Genomic DNA, 26,090 nt, shown 5'->3' on the forward strand with positions numbered 1-26,090 from the left:
AAAGTTGTAGCCAAATGTCCTCATGTCAGTGAGGCTGATGCTATACACGAAGGGTCTTTGGTATGAACAAAGGATGACACAAATAACAACTGGCATTCCAGGAGGGCTGCATTTTATGCACGGAATGCATTCTTGAAGACCTTGCACAATTTGAAACTTGCAAAATGCAAGACTCATGTTCTCACAATAATAAATGGAAAGGGAAAATTACATCTGTTCACATTTTTTGCATAAAGTGAAATACAAAGACTATTTTAAAATCATACTATTTCAGATTTCTGTGATTTAAAAAGTCCCAAAATTCTACCACTACACCTCTTCTTGTTACTTTTACTACCCTCATCATAAATTAATAACATACCAAGTGAAGTCGGGGTATAAGGAAACCAACTGAGCTTCATTAGGGGGCTTTACCTACATTGTCTCAAGGGAGAAATGTACTATTTTTTTTTAATCCTTCTCTTATAGCTAAGGAAACTGAGTTAAGGAAATCAAGACTTAAGCAACTTGCTCAAGGCCGTGGTTAGCAAGTGGAAGGAGTTTGGATTCATTCCTCAGTTGTTTGGCTCTGAAGCCTGCAATCTTTCCACAGAACTACTTGCATTATGTCCAGATCTATGCTTTATTCTTGGCATCAGCAGCAAGGGATAGTTTATATAAGAACATCTTTTTCCTCTATGATATCAGCCTCAAGAGCTTCAAGATCTGGTCTCTAAATATTCTGGAGTCTCTTAATAATTCATTCTGGCACTAACCTTCCTGAATTTCCTTTTAGACTGATCTTGAAACAATAATGAGTTCCGGAAGTTTAATAAGTGTCATTAGAAACTGGCATATTGTTTTATGATTTCAAGTTTGAATGATGCCTCCTCATTTGAATACTCTTACCATGGAGATTCTTGCAAACACGTGTAGTCAGGAAATGTCAGAGCTGGGAGAAGCAGTGGAGATGATCATGTGCACTCTTCCAATTTTGTAGATTTTGTAGGTAGAGCCTCAGGGAGGTTAAAGAGGGTCAGCAGCAGGGCCAGCTCCCCAAACGCAGGTTTCTAGGGAGCCTGTTTAGTACTTTTTCTGTCAGAACAGCTGATCTTAGAAGGTGTCAGAAGACTTGCAAACTGGTTCCAATGCAAATGGCTTTTATTTTTTAAGAATGTTCAGGTTTTGGCACAGACTACAGCATGGGCTCTGGAGTGATCGGCTCCATCTGGAACCAACTCTCTTGTGTTCTGCTCCCCTATGCCAGGTAGCCTCCAAGGAGAGGCCTAGCTGCCGTGGCCCTCAGTGTCTCAGTGTCACCTGATTGGTACAAACAGGACTGTTATCCAGCTGGAGAGATGATTTTTTTTTTTTTAAAGGCAAGGTCTCCCTCTTTTGCCCAGGCTGGAATGCAGTGGCATGACCATGGCTCAATGTAGCCTTGACCTCCTGGGCTCAAGTGATCCTCCTGCCTCAGGTGCCAGAGTAGCTGGGACTACAGGCACACACCACCCCACCTAGCTAATTTAAAAGAAAATTTTATTTATTTATTTATTTGTAGAGATAAGGTCTCACTGTGTTGCCCAGGCTGGTCCTGAACTCCTGAGCTCAAGTGATCCTCCTACCTCGGCCTCCTCAAGTGCTGGGATTACAGATGTGGGCCACTACACCTGGCTGAGAGGATGCATTTTGAAGTCTCTCAATGTTAGTTTAATTTCCCCTTGCTTTTAGGAACTTGAACAGGTCATTACATTTTTGGAAGTTTCTCTCCTCATCCATACCTTGATGACATGGCCACATATTACCTTGACTTTGAGGCTGTCTGACTGGCAAAGGCTGGCACAGCCTGCCTACAGGAGGGGGCAGACTTCATCCCTGCCTCTGCCTTTCTCTCTCCAGCTCCCTTCCACTTACATGAACCGAAGGTTTCCTTCTCTCCCCAGACCTCTACGAGCACAAGTTCATCAACTGTCGGTTTATCAACTCCACCTTCCTGGAGCAGAAGGAGGGCTGCCACATGGACTTGGAGCAAGATAATGACTTCCTGATTTACCTCGTCAGCTTCCTGGGCAGCCTGTCTGTCTTACCCGGGAACATCATTTCTGCCCTGCTCATGGATAGAATTGGAAGGCTCAAGATGATTGGTGAGTTGCCAGCAGGGTCATTCCTGGGTTCCAACGCGCTGGGGTGGTGACTTTCAAGTGTATTAAACAGGGAAATTTTCCCTTTTATTAAATAATTCTTGCACAACAAACCCAACAAGTAAGATTGCACCCAGGGCTATAGAGCCAAGGATGTGTGCCTACAGAAGACTCCAGGGCTCCTGGGAAATAGTCAAGAATCTTTGGTCTAGGCGAGGGACTTTTGTTCATTTCCTGACAGAGAAATTCTGTGACAGTCATTTAATCTATTAGCACTTCAATAAGGGTAGTAATAATATCCACCCTGCCTCTTCATCCGATTATTGTCAGAAAAATATATAAAATGCTCCTGGGTGATGGTTTGATGTTTGAAGATAAATTGTGTTACTTTTATTATTTAATAGCAATACCACTTTAGGCTTTGGAGTTGGACAGAGTCATGTTGAAATCCTATCACCGAAAGGCTGTTTGACCTTGAATGTGTTCCTTTACTTCTCTGGGCCTCAGTTTCCTTATTTATAAGAGAATGATTTTCCACATCCAGCTGGTAGGGTTTTGTGAGAATTGAACATAAGGTACCTGTAACACTTGGCACATCGTCGGTTCTCAAAAATGGTAGCTATATTCATGTATGCCTTGCCTCATTCCATCGGGACTTGCAGCAATTTATTACAGAAACACATGCCATGAATGGTAAACAAGAAGCAAAATGTACAGATTGAGGACCAGGGGAAATGCACATTAGAATATGAGTCAAGGCCAGGGGTGGGGAAGTGGACAACACATTATTAATAAACATGCCATTAGGGACCTGCGTTAGGGTTGACGTTGATTAGGAAAGTTAATACGAAGCTTCCTAGCAGCAACGTGCAAAAGGAAACACAATAAATCATAAAGTCATTTTGTTGGAGAAGAGAAAATTGATCAGGTCTTCATGGGAAGGAATTCTTTTCCTGGCATTTGGCTCATACTGAATATCACTATTATAAATAGTAGCATGCATATTCAGCGTGGTAAGCGTGAGAACTGCCTGTGACTTCAGCTTTTTAATCTTGTGGTGAGGGTGGAGTCATCTCTTAGATATGGCAGACTTCATGCTCTCCTCTATTAGAGGCAGTGCCTGGGTAGTCTTGAGGCCCTATGGGGGAAGGGACAATGGCTTACTCGTCCATAACCCGTGTCCAGCGCAGTGCCTGCAGTAGAGTTGACACTCAGCAATGCTGCTGAACTGATCAGAACGGAAGAAGATGGCCTCTTTCCTAGGTTAGCCCCAAACACCAAGCTTTCAGCAGAAGACACTACAGGTTGGCATCTTAAAAACACTTTGGCTGGGAGTCAGGTGGCTCCGTCTCTGCCAAGATTAGCTTTATGTGTGGACCCACGTTCCTTTACTTCTTTGAGCTTCCATTTTCATTGTTAAAATAATACCTCTGTTTGCCTCAGTGAGATAAGGGGTGTGAGAGCAGACATGAGACACTTCCGCCATTTGTCACCAGCCTTATGAGTCCCAGAGTTTACCAATGGAGTCTCTGGTCTGTTCATGAAGCAGCTGAGGAAGTTCTGGGGGAGGCAGGGTTATAAGGCTGGGGTGGGTGCCCATGTCGACGAGAACAGCCCACCGCCTAAGGACCTGCCACATGCCCCCTCACAGAAGTGGGGTGGGGGTGTGGCTGGGCACAGGGGCAGGCGGGACGGTGAGACAACAGACATCCTTTCCCTCACCACTGAAGCCCTTCGTATCATCGTGAATACATCCCAGATCAAAACAATTCCTATAATGCTAAATAAAGGCACGCTCTCGAATGAGAGATCTAGAACTAATATTTAATCATTCCTTATAGCCTACTCTCTTGTGAATGTCTCTGTTTTGTTTCTGCGCTAGAGGCAAGCTTGTTAAGAGCTGAGACAGGACCTTCTTTGTCTCTCTACCCTTCAATCTTTAGTAAAAGGCCTACATGCAGTGGGTCGGCTGTGACATTGGCAAGTGCATGGTAAAGACAAGGTGCTCAGCTGATATCTATTTCACTAGGATATGGGATGTGGCGGAACCACTTTGAAATAGCCCTATCCCCACCTCTCAGACCAACCCCACTAGAAAATCTGCAAGCACATTTTTGTTCTGCTTAATCTGCTGGGCTCTTTGTAGTGTGCAAGTCATTTCTTGTTATCAGCGGAGTAGAAGTTTTCCTGATTAGGCTGCTACCCACTCATTTATTCATCCAATAACATTTATTTATGCAGTAGTTATTCTCTCAAGGCTGTGTGGGAGGCAATGGGAATGCAACAGTAATTGAGACAGACAGTATCCCTGTGCTTAAGGCGCAAATGATCTATTGGGAGAGGCAGACTTCGACTAGAAATTTCATTTACCTAAACACTATGACATGCTTATTGTTATTGAATATTATTATTATTGAATATTATGAATATTGAACATGTGTTCAATATTAACACATGGAACCCTCACAATAACCCTATGAGGTAGGCGCCATTTTAATCAACATTTTAGAGATGGGGACAGTGAGACAGCTCACAGAAAGGTGAAGCAACTCACTCACGGTCACACAGGTAGTAAATAAGCCGGCATTTGCACCCAGGCCTCCCAATTACCAGAGGAATAAGAATTATGGAAGTGGAAGTACACTGGGCCCTGGGGACTTATAGCAGGAACACCTAACAGAGTTGAAGGATCAGGGAAGGCCTCCCTGACTATTAGCTGATGTGTCAGATCATCATGTTTTGTGGTTATGAAGTGTTTGCCAGCATTTACTGTAAGCCAAGCCCCATGGCTGGCCCCTCTGAGGGATGCATGCATGTAGAGGGTATTGTCCACAGAGCACTTGGGGGTCCTGTAGATGCCAGTTTCCCCTGTTCTAGTTCTCTCCTAGCTTTTGGAAAAAGGTTACCAGGCACCTGCTCACAGCCCTACCACTTCCCAAAGTGGGCAGAATCCAGTTGGACAGTTATCATTTCCTAGTTCATCAGCAAGGATTGGCACTAGTCTTGCAGCCCCAGGTCTGAGGGTGACACTCCGGGCTGAGGACCGTCCCTGGGGAGGTGTTTCTTATTGAGGCCAGGTCAGCCTCTGGCTTCTTGACAACTGGAAAACCTTCCTCCTGCAGGGTCCTGGTGCCTGGTGGGGCACTCGTGCCCTGTGTCCCGGTTGGTTGTTTGAGACCTGCTTCCTTCCCACCTTTCTGCTCACCCTATTTCCACCTCATTGCCAGTCACTTTTCTAGTCTGCAACCTGTTTTGCCATGTTCTGCATCCACCTTGGACTTGGAGCTTGCATCTCAAGGTCCTCCGGGCTGAACTTACTGGAATTGGGCAGCATTTGACAGTCTTCTTTGGATGGGATCTCCTATCAGCTCTATAAGGGCTGTGCTGCTCATTTTCTGTTCACTCCCATCCCCACCCCAGAGTTCTGAGCTGGACTTCTCCGCCCTGCTGGGAGCCCTGCGAGGCTAACCTCATGGACTGCATACTTAGATTCCTGGAGGGGAAAAGGGATTCACCCCAGATAGTTCTAGTGAGGAAACTTTACTCATAGAGCTTTTAGAGGTGTGGAAAGGGTTATGGAAACAAATAAGGCAGGTGAGGCACCCAGACACTAGCAAAAGTGAGAAGCAGTCACCACCTCTATGGCTGTGAGGACAAGGGGGGATAATTGCACTCACAGAGCTCCATGGGGGCTGGAGCCGTGGAGCAAGAGCTACCTGGGAGGAACTGGGGTCTTGGAGGGATGCAGACATTGCCAGAAAAGGCCTTCTACCCCCGGGGAGGAGTTGGGGAGGGGTACTCCAGCCACCTTCCCCTCCCAACTGATAAGAAAGTCCATGGGGTTAGCGTGTAGAGGGTATGTACAGAGCACATGTACAGAGGATAGCGCAGGGCTGAGAAGGGCAAGTCAGATCTCTGGGGTGGGGATTCGGGTAAATGGGGAATAGCACCGCCTTTCTTCAGGTTTCCCTTCAATAGCCCATGTACAGGTGTGTTCTCACCAGGTTATAAGCTCCATGAGAATGGATTTTTTTAAAAAATTATTTTTTTATTTTTAATGGATAAATTATAATTGTATATTTTGATGGGGTACAATGTGATATTTTCATGCATATATACGATGTGGAATGATTAAGTCAAGCTAATTAACATATCCATCACCACACATATATATGTTTTGTGGTGAGAATATTTGAAATTTACTCTCTTAGCAATTTTGAAATATACAATACATTGTTAGTAACTGTAGTCACCGTGCTGTGTAGTAGATCTCGAAAAGTGAGATGATGCAGATGTTTCTGTGCCTGGTTTACCCCATGGACTGTATCTAGCATCCTGCCTTCCAGGTTCATCCATGTTGTCATAAATGGCAGAATTCCTTTCTTTTCTTCTCCTTCCTCTCTCTCTCTTTCTCTCTTCTTTCTTTCTCTCTCTCTCTCTCCTTCCTTCCTTCCTTCTTTTTCTCTTTCTTCTTTTTTTGACAGTGTCTTGCTCTGTCACCCAGGCTGGAGTACAGTGGCGCCATCTCGGCTCACTGCAACCTCTGCCTCCCAGCTTCAAATAATTCTCGTGCCTCAGCCTCCCAAGTAGCTGGGATTACAGGTGTGCACCACCGGGTCTGGCTACTTTTTGTCTTTTTCGTAGAGACAGTGTTTTATCATGTTGGTCAGGCTGGTCTCGAACTCCTGACCTCAAGTGATCCACCCACCTTGGCCTCCCAAAGTGCTGGGATTATAGGCCAGAATTCCTTTCTTTTTAATGTCTGAGTAGTATCCCATTGTGTATGTAAACCACATTTTCTTTATCCACTCATCTGTTGATGGCCACTTAGGTTGACTCCATATTTTGACTATTGTGAATATTGCTACATTGAACAAGAAGCACAGATCTCTTTGACATCCTGGTTTCAAATCAAGACTGAGGTTTTTGTTTTTGTTTTTTGGCCAATACTGATGTAGCTCAAGCACCTAGAACAATGTCTGGTACATAATAGATTCTCAACAAATGCCCCTATCTGCCCCGTCCCGTCACTCTGAGCTGGGCACCACCTTAGAGTGGTGACTTCAGAATCCTTCCTAAGTCTGGTGATCTGACCCACGCAGAGGGCTCTAATGCCATGTCTGGGGTGCCTTGTGAGGATTCCAGCTGTGCTCTCTCTGTGTGGAGGGTGAACCTAATACTTCAGGCAGCCTTGGCTTCAGGTGTACCAGTGAGGGTGGGAGATGGGGCAAGAACTGTGAGTGACAGCCATGTGCAAGACACAGGCCTCATGTTTCTTTTTGCCCTTGAACTCCCTCTGCAGGTGGCTCCATGCTAATCTCTGCAGTCTGCTGCTTCTTCCTGTTTTTTGGCAACAGTGAGTCTGCAATGATCGGCTGGCAGTGCCTGTTCTGTGGGACAAGCATTGCAGCCTGGAATGCTCTGGATGTGATCACAGTGGAGCTGTATCCCACCAACCAGAGGTCAGTTCTTCCCCAGGCTTTCCTCAGGGACTTGTTTGGGCTTCTTTGGCCAGAAGTCTACCTGCTCCCTAAATCTCATGCTGTGCATGGCCATCGTGGTCTTTCTGCTGTTCCGTGAAACAAACATCTTTTATGTTGAGCTTCTCCTGCATGGTGGATGGCATAGACCTGAAAGTTGGCAGGCTAGGGCTTGGATAGGGTGGGAAAGATGGCAAGAAGCAAAGGATGGGAGCAAACTATGTCCAGGAGAAGGAAATAAGAGTGAAAAGTTGGTAAAACCATATGTGTCATGTAATCCACAAGAGAGAACAGACCTTCAAGGGGAGATAAGGCAAAAAAGTGAAGAGCTGGAATAGCACAGGGTGGGGGCAAGGAGAGAAATAAAGGTCGGGAGGCAGCATGAAGTCCAGGGAATCTGCAGAGAATGTGGCAGGGAGGCCCAGGGGTTACTTTTATTTTGCACAGGTCGTATATGGGAAGAGGCCTTGTTTAAAGGCATAGGATCAAGGCCATTACTTAGTAATTGTTTTTCTTCGTGGAGGGGAATTGTAAAGTTTAAAGGAGAAGATAAGAGGCCCTGTGGTCAAAAAGGAATGTGAAGAGGTAAGGAAGGTGGGTAAATGAAATTCTGCAAAAACCTTAATGATATTTCCAAAATTGGCGACAGAGGTATTGGGATATAGATAACTAAGGAAGAGCACAACGTGTCATATTTGGAGCCCCTCTCATTTGAATCAAAGAACTGCTAAGTTTTACACAAAATAACAGGAGGACAAATGATTATTATTTGAATATGATGTGATTTTACATCTAGGAATCCTAAGAGAATTAACTTATGAGACCACTATAGACAAAAAGACAATGTGGTCAGGTGGTCAGTAATAAAACGAAATTATGTATAGGTTTTAAAATATATCGAAAAAGTTAAAGATGCAATTGATATCCATTTAATAATGGCAGACGTCATAAAATAATTAGGGATCAACTTGACAAGTGAAACACTCAAATGAAGAAAACCATAAAGCTTTACTAAGAGATATAAAAAAAGACACATAAGAGAAGATAAATATATGCCAACTCAGTGATTTGGGAGGCCGAGGCAAAAGGATTGCTTGAAGGCTGGAGTTCAAGATCAGCCTGGGCAATACAGTGAGACCCCTATCTCTACAGAATATATTAGACAATTAGCCAGGCATAGTGGCATGTGCCTGTAGTCCTAGCTGCTCAGGAGGCTGAGGGGGAGAGCTGCGAGAGCCCCGGGGTTTCAGGGTTACAGTGAGCTAGGATCACAACACTGCACACCAACCTGGGTGACAGAGACAGACCCTGTCTCAGAAAATGTATATATTTATGGATTATATATTTATATATAATTATGATAATACATATAATTAATAACATATAATTAGTATACATTATTATATATAAATATATATATTTAAAAGACAAGATATACCTAATTTTGGATAAGAAGATTCAATCTTACAAAAACGTCAATTTTTATTTAGTTTTTTTTCTAACATAAAATAATTCATTCAAAATTCAACAAGTTTTTTTTCCCCTCTGGGAACTTGAAAAAAGTTTATTTAAAAAAGGACATATGTTAAAAGATCCAAGAAAATACAAAAACAAAGATACTAAGACAAACAAAAAAGACTGGGTTGATGAATATAAAGCTACAGTGTGGTACAGTTATAGACAAAAATGAAAGAAGAGTTTTAAGAACAAAAATATACCCACACTCTTAATAAACTTGTGGTATGAGAAAGAAACGCTTTATTTCAGTTGGGGAGAGGTAGCATTGGGAATATTGCCTCTGCATACAGATGGGGTCATGAAAGAATAAATGATTAGTAATAGTTCTCACTGGAAAGTGTGATTGAAAGATCATAATTAGGATTAGGTTTTGCTGTTGCTGACAGCAACCTCAGGTAACTGTGGTCTTAAGAAGGTTAAGCATTGCATTTTTCTTTCCTGAAAAAGTCTAGAGTGGGTGGTGCAGGCTCTTTCTATCTCATTGTTTTTCCTTGCATGGACTCATCATGGTCCAAAATGAAACCATCTGTGTTCCATCATGAAGCAGGATAGAAGGAAAAGAATGAAGGGGAACAGAGCAAAAGGCCCACCCGCAACGTCTCTTACGGAAGCTTCTTGGGAACTGCTGCCACTTGCACTTACATCCCATTGGCCAAAACTAAGTCACATGGCCATGCTCAGCAGCAAATCAGTCTGGGAAATGTAGTCCTACATTTGGGGAAATGCTGTTTGTGGGCAACTGGCAGTCTCTGCTTCAGGAGGGTTGAGAGTGTTAAAAGGGGGAACACTTACACTTTCTGCTTTGTATACTTCTTCATCCTTTCAAGATTTCCATAGTAAGCATGTAGTACCTATAAAAATGTTTTAAATAGATATCTTTGAAAAAAAAACAAAAAAGAAAAACACTTGAAGAAAATACTTCAAAATGTTAATAGAGGTGATTGTGTCTCGGTGAAGAGGTTAGATATCCATGCATCTTTATATTATTCTGTATTTCCAAATTTGACTACAATGAGAATGTGTTATTTTTATATTTAGGAAAAAAAACTCCCTTGCACCCTCTTCCCCCTGCAATAAGGAAAAGAAAGAGCCCAGTCCTGTTCATCTAATGTGGTTCAGAATGTCAGAATTATTTCCATTCCTCTTTTACAGAGCAACAGCCTTCGGCATTCTCAATGGATTATGCAAATTTGGCGCCATCCTGGGAAACACCATCTTTGCTTCTTTTGTTGGGATAACCAAAGTGGTCCCCATCCTTCTGGCTGCTGCTTCTCTGGTTGGGGGTGGCCTGATTGCCCTTCGACTGCCAGAGACTCGAGAACAGGTCCTGATGTGAACAACCTATGGGAAAAGGAAAGGTCGAGAGAATCTTGTCCAGGACACTGAAATGCATCCACACTTCCTGCCTATCACGGTCCGGAGGACACCTTGGATAGCACGGGAGGAGAAGTTGACTTTGTGACCCCTAGTTTAGGACCCACTTCAGCTGTCAATATGTTTGTAACTCAGGTGACTGATTTGGGGGTGCCCTGAGCCACCCTTAGAATCACAGAGCTGCGTGTTTAACTTCAAGTCTTCCCAGTCCAAGGCAGGGAGAGGATTCTCCAGTGAGTGCACACACTATGCGAGGAGCAAGCATTTCTCTAAGTCAAGTGCAAGGACTTAACTTGCGTTTGAAAAGGAATTAGAGGGTCAGAAACACCCAGGTTCCTCCAGAAAGCTCCTTGGAGCCCAACAACTTAACAAATCAACTTGGCTGGAAGTTAGAGTCATTATATGAAGATTGGGCTTGAAGTATATATTTTTGCATTTAAAAGTATCACCTATCATATTTTCCACTCGAAAATTGACATAGTAGCATTGAGGATACTCTGATCTAGAAAGCCAAGTATTTGAGCAACATCTATAGAGATCTACTTTTCTCCTATGTCTCCTAGGCTTTCCATGATAATTAGGTAATACATTTAAGAAGGATATTTATTTCTGTTTTGCTCTATTCAAAGAAACGGAATGGGATAGTTATTCTGTAAACTAAGTTTGTATATAACTTTATTTGGGTTTAATTTCCACAACTGGTATCTGCAAATATTGCCAGCATTTTAGCCATATTTTGGGAGAACTTGGTGTTTGAGGTCCCAGGAAATGAGGTCTGATCAAATGAAATGCAAGCACAATTTCTTACAGCCATTTAACTTTCTGTTGGGAGGATGAATTAACAAACTCACATTGTGCAGTCTGCTTAATCCAGGCACTTTTCTTTGTGCAGGTGTAGTGAGTAGTTACTTCTCTCCCTTACACAGATGACTTGTGAAACTCAAGCTCACCATCTTCAGTGCTGGCATTTTACTTTGCCACTACCCAAAAACAATGTGAGATGTGTTCAGTGGCCTCTGGTACTCTTTGCAGGCAAGAATCAAACAACATGGGGACTGAGGGAAGGATGGGGAAGTGTAGCCACAGTTCTTCCAAATGTAAATACTTTTTGTTTGTTCTAGTGGTAAAATGCAAATGCAATCCATATTTGTTAGGATGGTCAGGTCTCATGAGAAATCTATGCTATGTGTCCAGAGCTTTTGAAACAGAGTCCATTGGAGTGGGAGTTAGGGAGTGTAGTGGATGCCAAATATGTTTTTCTTCAGTGCTTAAGAGAACTGTTTCCTGAAGTCCAGCTTTGAACATAAACAGGGGTGTGGGTTGGGGGAGGAGCTTAGGACAAACCTCTCTGATGAAGGTCAGCAATAGACTGAAGTCTTGACTGCATGGAAGAGGAAAAACATCAGAACTGTCTGACAATGGAGGGGACAGTGAGCTACGCACAACTGCCAGCGGAGGTGAACTTGCACCTGCCCAGGCCGGATGAACATCAGCCTGCAAGAACTAGTTGTTTGAGTTGATTTGCAGTGCTCTCAATGGGCAAGTGCCACATTTTCCCTGGCAGAGATCTCCAAAAATTTAAAACAGAATAATAATGGCTATATCGAGTGTTTTCTCAGTATTGGAGAAATGCTTAGGTCCTATGATAGCTTCGGGACATCTTTCTGTAATTTTCCTCAATTAACGGGTTGGTAGGGGTAAATCTTATGACACCTTTCCACCGTCGATTTGAGATCAGTTTTAATGGTTAAAATGTTTACTCTCCTTCTGTCAACCCTCACCTTTTTATTTACACCCCTCCCTTTTTTTCTGTACAGGGAGAGAAGACATATTGACTCTGACTGGACACCCTGATTCCTCCAAATATATATACCACTGTGTATTAATCTTTCTCTCAGTGTTTTATAGGAGTACTAACATTTATTGCTCTGTCAATAATGAAAGGCTCGATGTAATATAGCTGTAATTTACTTTCCATATGAATACAGTGGCTAGGTTCATAAAAGAGAATTGTGTGAGTCTGGGATTACCACATCTAAAACATTATTCTTTAATGGGATAATACAATTCATTGAGCAGCTACCACTTAAAAAACTTGCAGGACAGTTAGAGCCTGCATTTCTAGTTAAGATGGATCTTGTAAATTTAAAATTGGATTAACATTGGAGTGCTGGGGTGGCTGCAATAATTTGGGGGCTAACTCCATTTGGTTTCCAAGATCTCACTTCTGCATTATCTTTATGGCTCTTTAAACCAGCCACCTAGCCAATCAAGGGCAATTCCCATCTCATCCATCACTCAGGTCTTTGTAAAGGGTGCAGCCAAGCTCTGCAGACTTTTGCAGGATTGTCTAGCCTGAGTACCGGGCTACTTCTTAAATGCCGTCACTCCTGCTGAGATAAATGCGTCTTTAAAAATAGTCTCTGTGGCAGGTCACTGGGGGACAATGTACAGCATTCTGGCCATCCACTTCTTTTTCACTTCATGTTCTACCCCAAGAGACTCCCGATGTCGGCTGTGGAGGGTTAAAGGGATGAGGCTTTCCTTTGTTTAGCAAATCTGTTCACAGTTCTTGATGATGTATTTTATGATGCCCAGCTTGGAAATAGTTGCTTTCCATAGTCTCAACTGTATTGTGTCATCTCCTGATGCTGATTTTTGATCTTTTGTTTTATTAAAAATAATTAGTGAAAGAGGTGTGCCTATCTGTGAAGTTTGTAGTACATCATCCTGAGGTCATGTAACAAGTAAACCCCAACCCAGCGTTCCCTCCTACGTTGTGTTAGTTCATTAAAACTAAATAATAAAAATAACTGTAAGAAAACCTTAAGGACTGGGGTTAGAGATTATTTTCAGGCACTAAGGTCTCTTCTGTATTCCAAAATTGATTGAATCAGCTGGGAGAAACATTGAGAATCGCTTCCTTCAACTTTTATTTTGCAACATGGGGACCTTGAGAGGTTAAACGATGTGGCCCAGATTACATGTAATGTGAGGAGTGGGCGAGAAGGCCTAAGGTGATGCTCTCATGACAGTTCTGGGGAAGCCTGCAGTTTGGGGAATGGGACAATGTGACAAATACTCGCCATTCCCTGAGACCATTCATTGACTATTCCCTTGATGGCTTTACTATAATGAGAGGAAGCATCAGTTTAAACATAAAAAGATTAGTATTTATCCATCCATTTATTCATTCAGCAAATCCTTATTGAGCCCTGACCATGGGCCAGTCTCTCTGCCAAGCCCTGGGGACACAGTGATGAAAAAACTGGCCACAGTTTCTGCTTCCTGCCTCATTCCACTTGCAGTGAGCGGATATTAAATTGGCCATAAACACCGAGTACGATGACCTTACAATCCGCAAACTGCACCTTTCATGTGTAAAAGGATTGCTACTACTTTACTTGTCAGCTGTGGATTTCCAAATGTGGTGGCTCCCTCTTATTTTTTTTTCTTTGAGGAGTGTACCAATTTTTTATCTTTATAAACCAGGTAAGGGAAATGATGCCCTTGCCCATTTTCTACAGACCTAATCGATTTTTACCTAATCAGTTTTACAGAAAGGGTTACATGGAAGAAGAGATAGGGGCCAGGAATGCAAGAGGGACATTGGTGAGTGGGGTAAGAATCCCCGTAGCCCTGGGAAAGGTGTCTCCACTTCCACATCTGGCTTTTCTAGGGGGCATCTGTGCTAACTGACCTGGGATTATGTTGGATGGCATATGACTGCAAATTCAAAGAAACCAATTTATAATAAGTTTATAGTAAGTTAAAGGTTTGTTTTACTCTCATGTGAAGGGAATCTGGAGGAAGGAAAGCCAGGGCTGGAGTGGCTGCCTTTGATCATGGGAGCACACTCCTTCTGCCCGATCATTGGGAGCACACTCCTTCTGCCTGATCGTTGGGAGCACACTCCTGCCTGATCATGGGCGCACGTTCCTTCTGCCTGATCGTTGGGAGCACACTCCTTCTGCCTGATCATGGGAGCACACTCCTTCTGCCTGATCATTGGGAGCACGCTCCTTCTGCCTGATCGTTGGGAGCACACTCTTTCTGCCTGATCGTTGGGAGCACACCCCTTCTGCCTGATCATTGGGAGCACACTCCTTCTGCCTGATCATGGGCACACGCTCCTTCTGCCCGATCATGGGCACACGCTCCTTCTGCCCGATCGTTGGGAGCACACTCCTTCTGCCCAATCATTGGGCTCACGCTCCTTCTGCCCGATCGCTGGGCTCACGCTCCTTCTGCCCGATCTTGGGCGCACGCTCCTTCTGCCCGATCGTTGGGCGCACGCTCCTTCTGCCCGATCGTTGGGCGCATGCTCCTTCTGCCCGATCGTTGGGAGCACGCTCATTCTGCCCGATTGTTGGGAGCACGCTCCTTCTGCCCGATCGTTGGGCGCACGCTCCTTCTGCCCGATCGTTGGGCGCACGCTTCTTCTGCCTGATCGTTGGGCGCACGCTCCTTCTGCCTGATCGTTGGGCGCACGCTCCTTCTGCCTGATCGTTGGGAGCACGCTCCTTCTGCCTGATTGTTGGAAGCACGCTCCTTCTGCCTTCAGACTCCTTGATTTTTAGTGCAGTTTCCATCACTGAGGCTGCCTCATGGGCTGAGATGGCTGTTGAAGCACTGAACCTCACATCCACAATTCAGGCAGGAAGCAGAAGGAAGGGCAATGGGCAAAGGGGCTGTGCCTTGCAGCCGATCCAGCCTCCCTTTGCTGCAGAGGAGGCAGGGAAATGCGGTATTTACTGGGAACATTGCTGCCCCTCCTCCAAATTGAGGGTCTTGGCTCGAAGGACAAAAGCCAGAAAGGATAGGTGGATTAGTGCTTCTTAAACTTTTGCGTGCATCAGAATCACCCAGAAAGATGTTAAAACTCACTCTTCAAGGCCCCATCCCCAGAGATTCGGATTCTGGGGATTTGGAATCTGGGGTGGGGTCTGAAGAATCTGCATTTTTTAACAAACTCCCAGGTGACATAGATGGCATCAATTCTCAAGCCATATTTTGAGTAGCACTGACACTCTTCCAATAGGTGGTACTTTGACTTGTCAGGGAAGTTCTATTGCTCTGATAACTTAAAACCAACCCAACCAGAAGCTCACAAAAACTAGCAGCCTGTGAAAAATGATCACCATTTTCCTAGAGCTCCGAGACAACTAGTGGTAGTGCAACAGTAACCCAAAAATGTCAATGAAAATATTTCCTTCCCCAGAAACTGCTTGGTTTCACTCAGGTCCTGTCCTTATGGGCCTGTGTCTGGTTGCAGGGCTTGAAGTATTTCGGAAGCTCAGCAGAGGTTGAACCCTTTCCCCTGGGGGTTGGTGATCTTTGTTTTGGCCATTTCCACCTGGTGAAGATTTTCATAGACAAATATGCTTGTGGCATCCTGTAATTCATTGTGCCTTATGATGGACCTCTGATTCTATAAGCTTCCCCCTAGCTAGGGATGCACGGGGGTGATCAAGACATGACTAGATGTGAACCTGACCTGCAGACAGTCCACCTGAACGTGCCTGGAAATGTCTCCCGAAAAGGATGAAAAGCCTCCTCCTTTAGACAAGGAAGACAGAGTGGAGCAAATTTCTCTACATAGATCTCATTCGAAAACAAATTTACAGAATGCAGAATGGCTACTGTGTGTCTTGTGCTATGCTAGGTCTCTCTCTCTCTAAGTGGACTCTGACCCTGTCCAAAACATTGTGCTTTTGCATGTAGCTGTGTCGCATTTAGGCCCAGCTCTAAGAACCGTTTGGAAATAAATCACATAGAGCCTTTGATTGTGAGGCAGGCTTAAAGTACATTTTGTTTGATTTGCAGAGGCATGGTGAGGAATTTATATGCATGGCTGTTGTGGCAGCAGCGAGATTTCCAAAAAGATGAATGATGAAATGAAACAGACTGAAGCTATCTCACAAATGTTAAATGGAGAAATAAAAGTTGTTATAGTCATTGCTAATTACAGAATGAGCAAGAGATTTATTTAGCAGGACCATACTATGCCCCCTGGAAGGTTCAGTTTATGAGCTGGAGCACAAGGATTTACTGTCATTTCACCTGAAAACACACATTTAGCTGTCCATTTACCTTTAATCCTACAGGCTTAAAATACTTTAAAATTTCAGAGACCATTAATATGTATTCCTTTAGAAAGCAAAGGTCTTTCAGAAGCTGTCCTCTACCAAAGTTAATGTGGTCACCACATTTGATGATTTTGCTAGGTAGGGAGGTTTATTTAATCACAGCTACTGTCACTCAGGAGGATGAGCCATTTAAAAATGGTGGCCCTGTCCTCCACTTCTTACCTACCATATATAATCTCAGTAATTCAGATTTCTCTAAATCAGCATTAGTGATCATTTCAATAGGGTATGAACAAAAGGCCTATAAAAATAGCTTTCCAATTCGCCACCAAAAATGCAAAAATGACAAGTAAGTGAGGTAACGCATGAGCTAAATAGCTTGATTTAGTCACTCTAAAATGTGGGTGTGTATATATACATACATATATATACACACACACATTATGTTATACACCATAAATATATAGAAGTTTTACTTGTCAATTAAAACTATAAATAAAGTGGCTTTCCAGAAAAATTAGATATTGGACTCTATCACAAAGGAATTGCATAAAAATACTTACAAACATAACTATAAGCAATTGATGAGCAAATTACAAATGACTGTTTTTTATTAAAACATTCCTCCAAAAGAACGGCAAAGCAAATCCCATAGACACCCAAAATACTAAAAGTGACAAAACAATACTTCTTTAAAAATGTATTTTATGATCTATTTATTGATATTCTAATGGTTTTAAGAAGGATAATTTTCCAAAACCTAAATGCTACACATTTTACAGTGGCAATATCAACCTTATCATGAGCTAAAGATTTGCAATCAGAACATTGGTAGAGTGCATTGCTGAGTTATAACAAGTGTCTCAGGACGAGGATATTTGGTAGGTATCCTTAAATATATAGATGCTTACCAGTAGGTTTAATAGAAGATTTCTGAAAGGTAGCGCAAGTTTTTATTTCATTATTTTTATTTTTATTTTTTTGAGACAGAGTCTCACTCTGTCATCTAGGCTGGAGTGCAGTGGTGCAATCTTGGCTTGCTGCAATCTCCACCTCCCAGGTTCAAGCGATTCTCCCACCTCAGCCTCCCGAGTAGCTGGGATTACAGGCATGCGCCACCATGCCTGGCTAATTTTTGTATTTTTAGTAGAGACGGGGTTTCGCCATGTTGGCCAGGCTCGTCTCGAACTCCTGGCCTCAAGTGATCTGCCCGCCTCAGCCTCCCAAAGTGCTGGGATTACAAATGTGAGCTACTATGCCTGGTCCCAACTTCTTAAAATTAAATTTTGGGGAAGTTCATGGAGATATTTTTGACATGTAAAAGTAGAAAACAAACCATCCATAGTGTGTGCATATATACACACAAGGTTTGGTTTAATATACTTGCTGTGCACTAGTCAGTTTTGATTCAGGTTACATAAGGGATAAAATATAGAAAGACATTTTAAAGTTTGAAATATGTGCTAAGTAGTTAGAGATTTGGCAGTTTTGCCACATTTCAAATGGGCCAAACATTAAAATAACTTATCCATGAATTTCAGGTTTCAAGGAAGGAGGAATATCTGACTATTTTTTTTTGTGTGTGAGATTTGGTCTCAGCTTTTTGGTCCATCTGAATCCTGGAAGTCCCCAACTCTACCAGACCAAAAGGGTGTCTCTATTTTTTGTTGTTACTTCTCTGTTCTTGATGTAATGAGTTAAGTAGATGAAAGAGATTAAGGTGCAGGGAAGGGCTCTTAAAAGTTTAATGTTTCAGCTTTCCATAGTCATTCATACTTGTGAATCTTCTTCCTCTTCTACTTCAAAGTAGCCAAAACTTGGAAAGTTCAAATTAATCTTTGGGCTCCAAAGAGCAATTCTGAAGGATTAACAGGTTTCATTCTCTCCAGTGGGAGGTGGCCTAGACAGGTGCCGGTTTTGGGGAGAGGTGAGAGTACCCAGATGTGGGTGACTATTTCCTGTTCTTCCCTGAAAGTCAGGCCAGTGGTCTCGAATCATTCCCACAGCAACTGCTACAAAAGTGACTATCTTAATCCTTTGGCTAGATGGGATACCTCTTCTACCTTTTCAGAGGTGAGCTGTTGAGTAGTAATGTCCGCTACAACACCACGCTCCCGGAATGGTGGTTCCTAAGAGCAAAGTCAGTTAATACAATTTCTCCAGGTATCCAGCTATCTCCAGGTGTGCGGTCCTGTGAAGCACTCTAAGAACTGTAAAAAATATTTCATAGGTATAGAAGGCATTTGTAATACTGTTGGTTCAAATGTGCTGACATGTAGCCAGTGGAGGAAGATGTTTCTTTGGAAGCCTGCCATCTTTCTGTAACGCACCTTCAACCTGAGATAATTAAGAGTCATTACGTTTCCCAGTCCCATGTCACATTGACCAGTCCTGTGGTCCTATGGCTAAGCGGAGGACACGGCCACAAGCTGTGAGTCATGAAAAGGAGGGTGCAGGTGATAGGCAAAGGGACCCATTAGCCAGTTTACAATGACTGGCAACTGACCAGATAGAGCTTACCGTATGTCCATGTAGAGTTGCTCATATTAGTCTGTAAATAATTCTATGCATAGTGAATGCAGCTTCTGAATTATTAAACTGATGCTATAAATGTGAACTGACAAAACCCACTTTTGGTCTCTCTTCATATTTTTCGTGGTTTCATTTATCTCTCCCTTCAGATGTTTTTCCATCTGACTGTCACTGGATAGTGGAATTGCTCTGATTACCGATGCCTTTTTTGTTCTTTGGTATATTAAAATAGTAGTAACAGTTGATCTGGTGATTGGTGAATACAGTTTAATCTTTAATACCTTGTGATCCAGATATTTAACAAACACACATGAAATTTACTGAATGACAAGAACTGTGATAAAGACTTTTAAAGCCTATCCCCTTTAACCTTCATAATAACCTAATGAGTAAGTGTTATTTTCTTCCCTTTAGAAGTGGGGAAACTGGAACACAGGAAAGTCACTTGTCAAAGGCCAAATAGCTACAGACTGAGTATTCCTTATCCCAAATGTTTGGGACCAGAAGTGTTCTGGATTTCCGGTTTTAAAAGATTTTGGGATATTGGCATTATACCTACCAGCTGAGCATCCCAAGTCTGCACATTTGATATCTAAAATACTCCAGTGAGCTTTTCCTTGGAGTACACGTTGGCGCTCAAAAAGTTTTCAATTTGGGAGCATTTCGGATTTTTGACTTTTGGATTTGGATTTGGAATGCTCAACCTGTTTTCAGAGTCAGAGCCAAGTTCTGAATGCTCATCACCTGGCATATAGTATGGTATAATCACCCCACCAAACCTCTTCCAAAAGAAGCCAGGGTCATCTGCTGCAGATGTTTCTGGGCCACTAGGCCAATATTAACCAAATTATTATAGACACCATCTTAATGTAGAGGATCCCACAAGACTGTGACCTAATAAAACCCTCATTTTCCCTATGCATTGTGACTAACACAGTATTTGATACGTAGTAGGTCTCAATAGATGATGAATAGACCGATGAATGAGCACATGAGTTGAATGGTGAGGAGCAAGTGAAGTGTCATATGTAAAAGAGTTAATTCTCAGATTGATTCAAATGCGGACTTAACACTGCAGCTGTAACTCTGGGTCCGGGTCTTGGTGGCTCCTGCTTTGCTGAGCTTTAAAACTTTAGTAACCTGATGATGGAGAGATCTGGGGGGTGCAGAGGAGGGACCTGGTTCTGGAGTGGTGATGCTGGTTGTCAGAGGGCTGAGGGTGGTGGCCTTTTGCTAACTGGTATGGAAGCATTTCGGTATTTTAACAAGTATGAAAGTAGCTATGTGAATTTGCCAAATAGAAATCTTGGAGGCCAGGTGCAGTGGTTCACACCTGTAATCCCAGCATTTTGGGAAGCCAAGGCAGGTGGATCACTTGAGGTCAGGAGTTCGAGACCAGTCTGGCCAACATCGTGAAACCCCATCTCTTCTAAAAATACAAAACTTAGCTGGGTGTGGTGGCACATGCCTGTGATCCCAGCTACTTGGGAGGCTAGGGCAGGAGCATCTCTTGAACCTGGGAGGTGGAGGTTGCAGTGAGCTGAGATGGTATGTGAGTCTTGGTTGGACACAAGAAAATGCACTCCAGCCTGGGTGACACAGTGAGACTCTGTCTCAAAAAAAAAAAAAAAAAGAAAGAAACTTTAGAAGCCACAAGAGGTCAGCTCCAGTGCAATATCCTCACCTGATGATGTTTTCCAAGCTCCTACCAAGGCTGCTGAGACACATCAGTAATTGAAAAACTTTGTGGAGTTCGGTTTCGTTTCAACCAGGTATACTTTTTTGCTTTATTCCCATATCAACACTAGAGGGCAGTAGCTACCTTGACGATGTAAACCAGGCTTCTCCAAGGTTGGTGAGCCCTCTCTCCCGCCTTTGCCAAGGGGAATGAACGGCTTTTGCGAAGCATGAGTATTGCCCCTCTGTTGTTTACGATGGGTCTGAATGTGGAGATGATTCCAGAAGGCATTTGCTGGAGGGCCTGGGATATCCTTTAACCGTTGATAATATGCTCTTATCTGAAAGATGGAAACTTTCCCATCAACTTTAGAGGAATTGTGGATTCAGCAATCATTTATTAAACATGGGGATGGGGACACCCTTCACCATCTTAGCAGACGACTGGCTTTTAACCCATGCTTATTTAATTAGGACTTCACCATTTACTGTTGCTAGTTAATTTTATATAGGCAAAAACCTCTTGGTGTCCCCTGGGAATCTGTAAGGACAATGTGCTAGGAATGAGAATTCAGAAGGGAGTGTTGGTTTGTGTATTCACAAGGTGTCTACTCAAAGATTGAACTCTTCCATACGTGGGGTGAAAGTTCCTGGCATTAACTATATTAAATAGTCACTGTCCTAGCTGAGCTCAGGGGAGCAGATGTTTTCAGCACAGGATACATGCAAAGGCAGTAAAATGTACTAGGAGAAGTTCGGTTTGGAAGCCCTGAAGTTCTTGACTCCATCCTTCACTTCTGAGATCTAGGGAAAGGCTGTGAGAGCCTGTGCTGGTTGCTTAACCTCATTTTCCTTATCTTTAAAACAGAAGCGGCAGACACAATGGCTGTAGGGTCTCTCCAAGTTTTGATTTCTACAGTAAGAACAATATCACTTGGGAATGCATATAAAGCAAGACACAGAAATAGAGTTTCCTGTATGTGAGTCTTGGTTGGTCACAAGAAAGGGAGTGCGTGCCCTGTGAGCTCTGTTTCGTTTGGAGATACTTGACAGGGTGCACCGTGCTTTGATTACTCCTCGCCAGTGCTTTCCACAGAGGGAGCGAGAGGCAGGTGATCTGCCAGTGTAATATGAAAGGCAATCTAGGCTCAAGGCTAGCTTAAAGGGAAAAGGAAAAGGAGGTATCCACAGGGAAAATGGGGTTAGTTTTATATTCAAATCTCACCTGAGATGCCAACAAAGTAATGACAGAAAACTGCATGTAGCTACATCAGTGGAGGCTAAAAGAAGATAATCAGAGATACTAGGAAGCAACCTACTGCAGGAGGAGAGAGAGGGGGGAGGGAGGGAGAGAGAGAAAGGGGAGAGAGACAGAGAAAGAGATGAAGAGAGAGAGGGAAGGAAGGACAGAGAGAAAAAAAGAGGGAGAGAGAGAAAAAGACAGAGAAAGAGATGAAGAGAGAGAGGGAAGGAAGGACAGAGAGAAAAAAAGAGGGAGAGAGAGAGAAAAAGAGAAAGTAGAGAGAGAGGGAGAGAAAGAGGAAGGGAGAAAGAGAGATGGAGAGAGAGAGAAAAAGTGAGAGAAAGAAGGAGAGAGGGAGGGAGAAGAAGGGAGAGGGAGAGAAAAAGAGAGGGAGAGAGAGAAAAGAGAAAGGGAGAAAGAGAGGGAAGGAGAGAGAGAAAAAGAGGGAGGAGGAAGGACGGGGGAGAGGCGGAGAGGAGAGAAGGAGAGAGGGAGAGAGAGAGGGGGGGATAGGGGGAGACGGGGACACTGGGAGAGGGGAGAGGAAAAGAGATAGGGAGATTGACTCATGGTTGGAAGGTCCTGGGTTTAAATCCTGGCTCCACATGGGTAAGCGTGGGCAGGTGAGGGAGCTCCCTGAGCCTCTTTTTTTCTCACCTGTTGTTCATAAACGTGAGTTGCCTCTCCTGTCCTTCTTTTTCCTTGAATCTACAGTTCTAAGGAAAAAAAAGTGTTTCATGTTTCATGCATTCAATAAAACTTTTTCCCCTGGAGCTGAATAAGTAGAAAAGGCACCAGAAAGCGTAGCGAAAGAACGAGGATACTCTAAGTCTGGCTTGAAGGGACTGGACCATTTCCAGAGTGTTCCACAGCCAAACATGAGCACACAGAGAAAGCAGACCAGAAAAGACAGACAAATGACGGACCTGGAAATTATCTTCATGTGAGTCCTGGTGTGTTTCCTGAAATGGACCTTCCTGGCATTTGTTTGCATGACAGAATTCTTTTTCGCTGGAGTGGAAGAGACACCAAATAGCAATGGTGATGATGTGGAAGGATCACCTTCACGTGACCTTGTGGGGGGTAGTTATATCAATGTGGTGAACCAGGGCAGGTAGAAGAACATGGAAAAAACACATGCAAATGTTTGTCACTCCTTGTGAACTTTCAGAAATAACCAGGTGAAACTCCTAATGGAATTAGAAATCCTTTATGAATAGCCAGGGAAAAACACTAGGAAGCACAGGTGATTCCTGTAAGTGAGACCTAGTTTCTAGGAGACCACACGCTACGTAAAGAATGAAGGCAATTGGAATTTCTTCCATGGAATAGAGATGTAGGGAGACTGAGTGAAGTTTAGCAGAAATGATGCCTCTTTCAAAATTTTGTTTTTCAGGTCTCATTGAGTCTGAGTTAATACGTGAGACACCAATAGGCTGGTTTAGAATTACATGTCTTCATGATTTCATCTTTATGTATTTACTTTTTGGGGTTGCCTCATATTAAAGAACTTCAACTTCATCATTTTGTTAAAGAAACTTCAGCAAGCAAAAACATAGACTATCCACTAATCTTGCATAAAAAATCAATATTGCATTTGCATCGACTTCTCAGATCTAATTTACACTGCATATAGAGTATCCCCCAGTGAAGCTTAGCCCAAAGGAAAGAAGGTAAAGAGAAGAGGAAGAGAATGACTTAGATGAGGAGGACAGAAGAACGCAGAAGGGGAGGAGGCCGGGTCACGGATCAAGGCCAGGTCAGAAGGGGACAGCTGGTGGTACACACAGAAGCAAGAGGAAGGTCATCATCCGAAATTCTAGGACTGCAGAAGGAGGGTGTGTTTAGAGATTCTGATTTCTCCAACGGGGGAAGCAGAAAAAGTCCAGAATCTTAAATAATGGGCTTGGGTCAGCCTCATGCATTCCATCAGGTCAGAGGGAGACAGGGTGTGTGCCTGAGGATCCAGGCAGAGTTTCAGGTGGTATAAATCAAGCCCAGTTGATAGTAGTTGGAGAAGATTCTAGAGAAGGAAATAGGAAATTGCATTCCTGGGTCAGAAACGGGCAGTCAGGTCTTTACTACTATACCCTCAAGAAATGACTGTGAATTCCAGGACGGCGTCTTCCTATGCTCTGCCCTACCCATTACTTACTCTCCTGCAGGGTATTAGATACTTCCTGTGCACCACCCCATGTGCTCTTGGCTTTGCCTCTTATTTAAATGGCTGCAGCTGTGGCAGTCAATCTACACAGGCTTTGACAAGCTTCCTGCAGCGTGGGCCTCACGGATTTTTGACACACAGCATGGCACGCCCAAAGACGTGCTCAATACTCACAAATGCTCAGCTGTGAAGTGGAGGGGAGCTTATGTCTCTTGGGGGACCCCTGGACCAATGAGGGGCAGGAGCTGATCAATAAATGCCTTCCTTCCCTTTCTTACTCCGGAGACTTGGCTGTGACTTCTCAGGTGATTCCATGAGATGTAAGTGGCCCCAGAGTGAGGGCCCATTGGAGAATGCAAATGCATCCTGGTATCGGCTTTCTTTGCTTCCTGCTCTCTCTGTCCTCAGCCCTGCTGCCTGGAATCACCCTTTCAAAGAAACTTACTCTCACATAAGCCTCTATCTCAGGCTCTACTCTGGGTAACCCAGGCTAGAAAAACAGACCAAGAGAGTGAGAAGGAGATGGAGATGTCTTCCTTGGAGGGCTTCTTGAATTCAGCAAGTCGGGGCAGGAAACAGGGGCTTCTCAGAACACATGGTGAGACTTCCCCATCCTTTGCTTTGGAGGGTGGTGAGTACCTGGGGCAGGTACTTCTCTGGCTAATGATACTCCTTTTATAGGAGACATTTTTTCTGCTCTTCAGAGATCATTTCACATAAAAGTCAGACTTTGGGATTTAAAGTCCTACTCTCTTTTCTAGACCAATGACTCCCTATTTCTCCATGGCTTCATTTTAAGACCCAGTGTGCACATTTGCCCACTGACTTGGTCTCCTGCCCCTGAATGTGGATCTATTCTTTAATATCCCCCTGAAATCAGTCTCCTGCGAGCTGGCTGCCCCAAGCCAGGTGTGGCCTGACTGATGCAAATACAGGGGAATTCTTGCCTCTGGTAGTTTGAGATTCAGTTCTTGGTCAGTTAATGGGGACCCGGATTATAGAATGTCTTTGCTTTCAGGAAATTCAATGACTGTGTTGGAAGCACTAATTACCTGCCTTAAAAACCAACATTATTAGCCAAGAATAATTATTACTGCAAGGAAAAGGAAAACAATCAGGAAGGAACACATCTTTAAGGCCACTTTAAATTTCAACTCACCTTCTAGCGGAGGGGGAAAGGTGCAAATCCTTATTCTCCTGTCTATTAAAAAGAAAGTCTTCAACTGTAAGCAATCTGCCACTGAATCCCATTTATATTTTTTTACCTTTGGTGTGAATAGCAATTAGATGTAGTGACAAAAACACAACATGTGGAGGTTCATACAACTTTGGTATTTGTTATTTTAAGTTCTTTTTCAGGATATAAACGATTGGAGTTTGAGTGAAGTTATGGTTGGTGGGTGAAGCATGTGAAGTTTGTGTGTGTGTGTGTGTGTGTGTGTGGTGGGGGGTAGCATAGAGAGGCTTCATGGTTACTATGGCTACACCACACAACGCCCCTGGCAACTTGAACAGGGTGTAAGGGCAACAAGCAGGGGGAGTTGGAAAAGCATACAAATGAAATCAGAGGGGTTTACAAAATCCCAAACTGGAAGACTGTATTTCCTTAAATACCTCTACCATCTGGGCACATTCTCTTTTAAGATTCTGTACTCCAGATGCATTTTTGTCAAACAAAGCAGAGTTATCTTTAGTAATATAAAATTAAGGGAGCAATGGCTGAGTGTAACAATTCTAAAGAAACCTTGGGATCGGCCATACAGTGATGCCTGATTTAGCTGGCATTGTTGGGTCTCGGTGCTACATAGATAAAATAACCCCTGTAATGGGAGCTACCTTGTTGAACTAGGATGGATGGGTGGGTCCGTGGGAAGATTCTCTTTATCATTCTCC

At 43.4% G+C, this 26,090-nt stretch overlaps 1 protein-coding gene across 15 annotated transcripts in view, besides 1 other annotated feature; it reads left to right on the top strand.

Annotated features, from left to right (window-relative positions):
• SV2B (synaptic vesicle glycoprotein 2B) overlaps positions 1-20,467 on the top strand; it is a 202,978-nt gene extending 182,511 nt beyond the window's left edge. For 14 of the 15 annotated variants that reach the window (NM_001323031.2, NM_014848.7, NM_001323032.3 and 11 more), the window contains 3 exons: positions 1,923-2,123; positions 7,423-7,582; positions 10,271-20,467. In NM_001323031.2, coding sequence (NP_001309960.1) covers positions 1,923-2,123; positions 7,423-7,582; positions 10,271-10,454 — 545 coding nt within the window. In that variant the 3' untranslated portion in view covers positions 10,455-20,467. The remainder of the gene's footprint in view (positions 1-1,922; positions 2,124-7,422; positions 7,583-10,270) is intronic. The other variant, NM_001323034.3, reaches the window with a different exon arrangement.
• Positions 9,621-9,915: an enhancer, noted in NCBI's record as "tiled region #12031; HepG2 Activating non-DNase unmatched - State 22:ReprW, and K562 Activating DNase matched - State 4:PromP". NCBI's record gives its function as "activates a minimal TATA promoter and a strong SV40 promoter by Sharpr-MPRA in HepG2 and K562 cells {active_cell/tissue: HepG2 | K562}" and the evidence as "EXISTENCE:reporter gene assay evidence [ECO:0000049][PMID:27701403]".

The sequence above is a fragment of the Homo sapiens genome, chromosome 15 (genome assembly GCF_000001405.40).
Source record: "Homo sapiens chromosome 15, GRCh38.p14 Primary Assembly".
Lineage (NCBI taxonomy): Eukaryota > Metazoa > Chordata > Mammalia > Primates > Hominidae > Homo > Homo sapiens.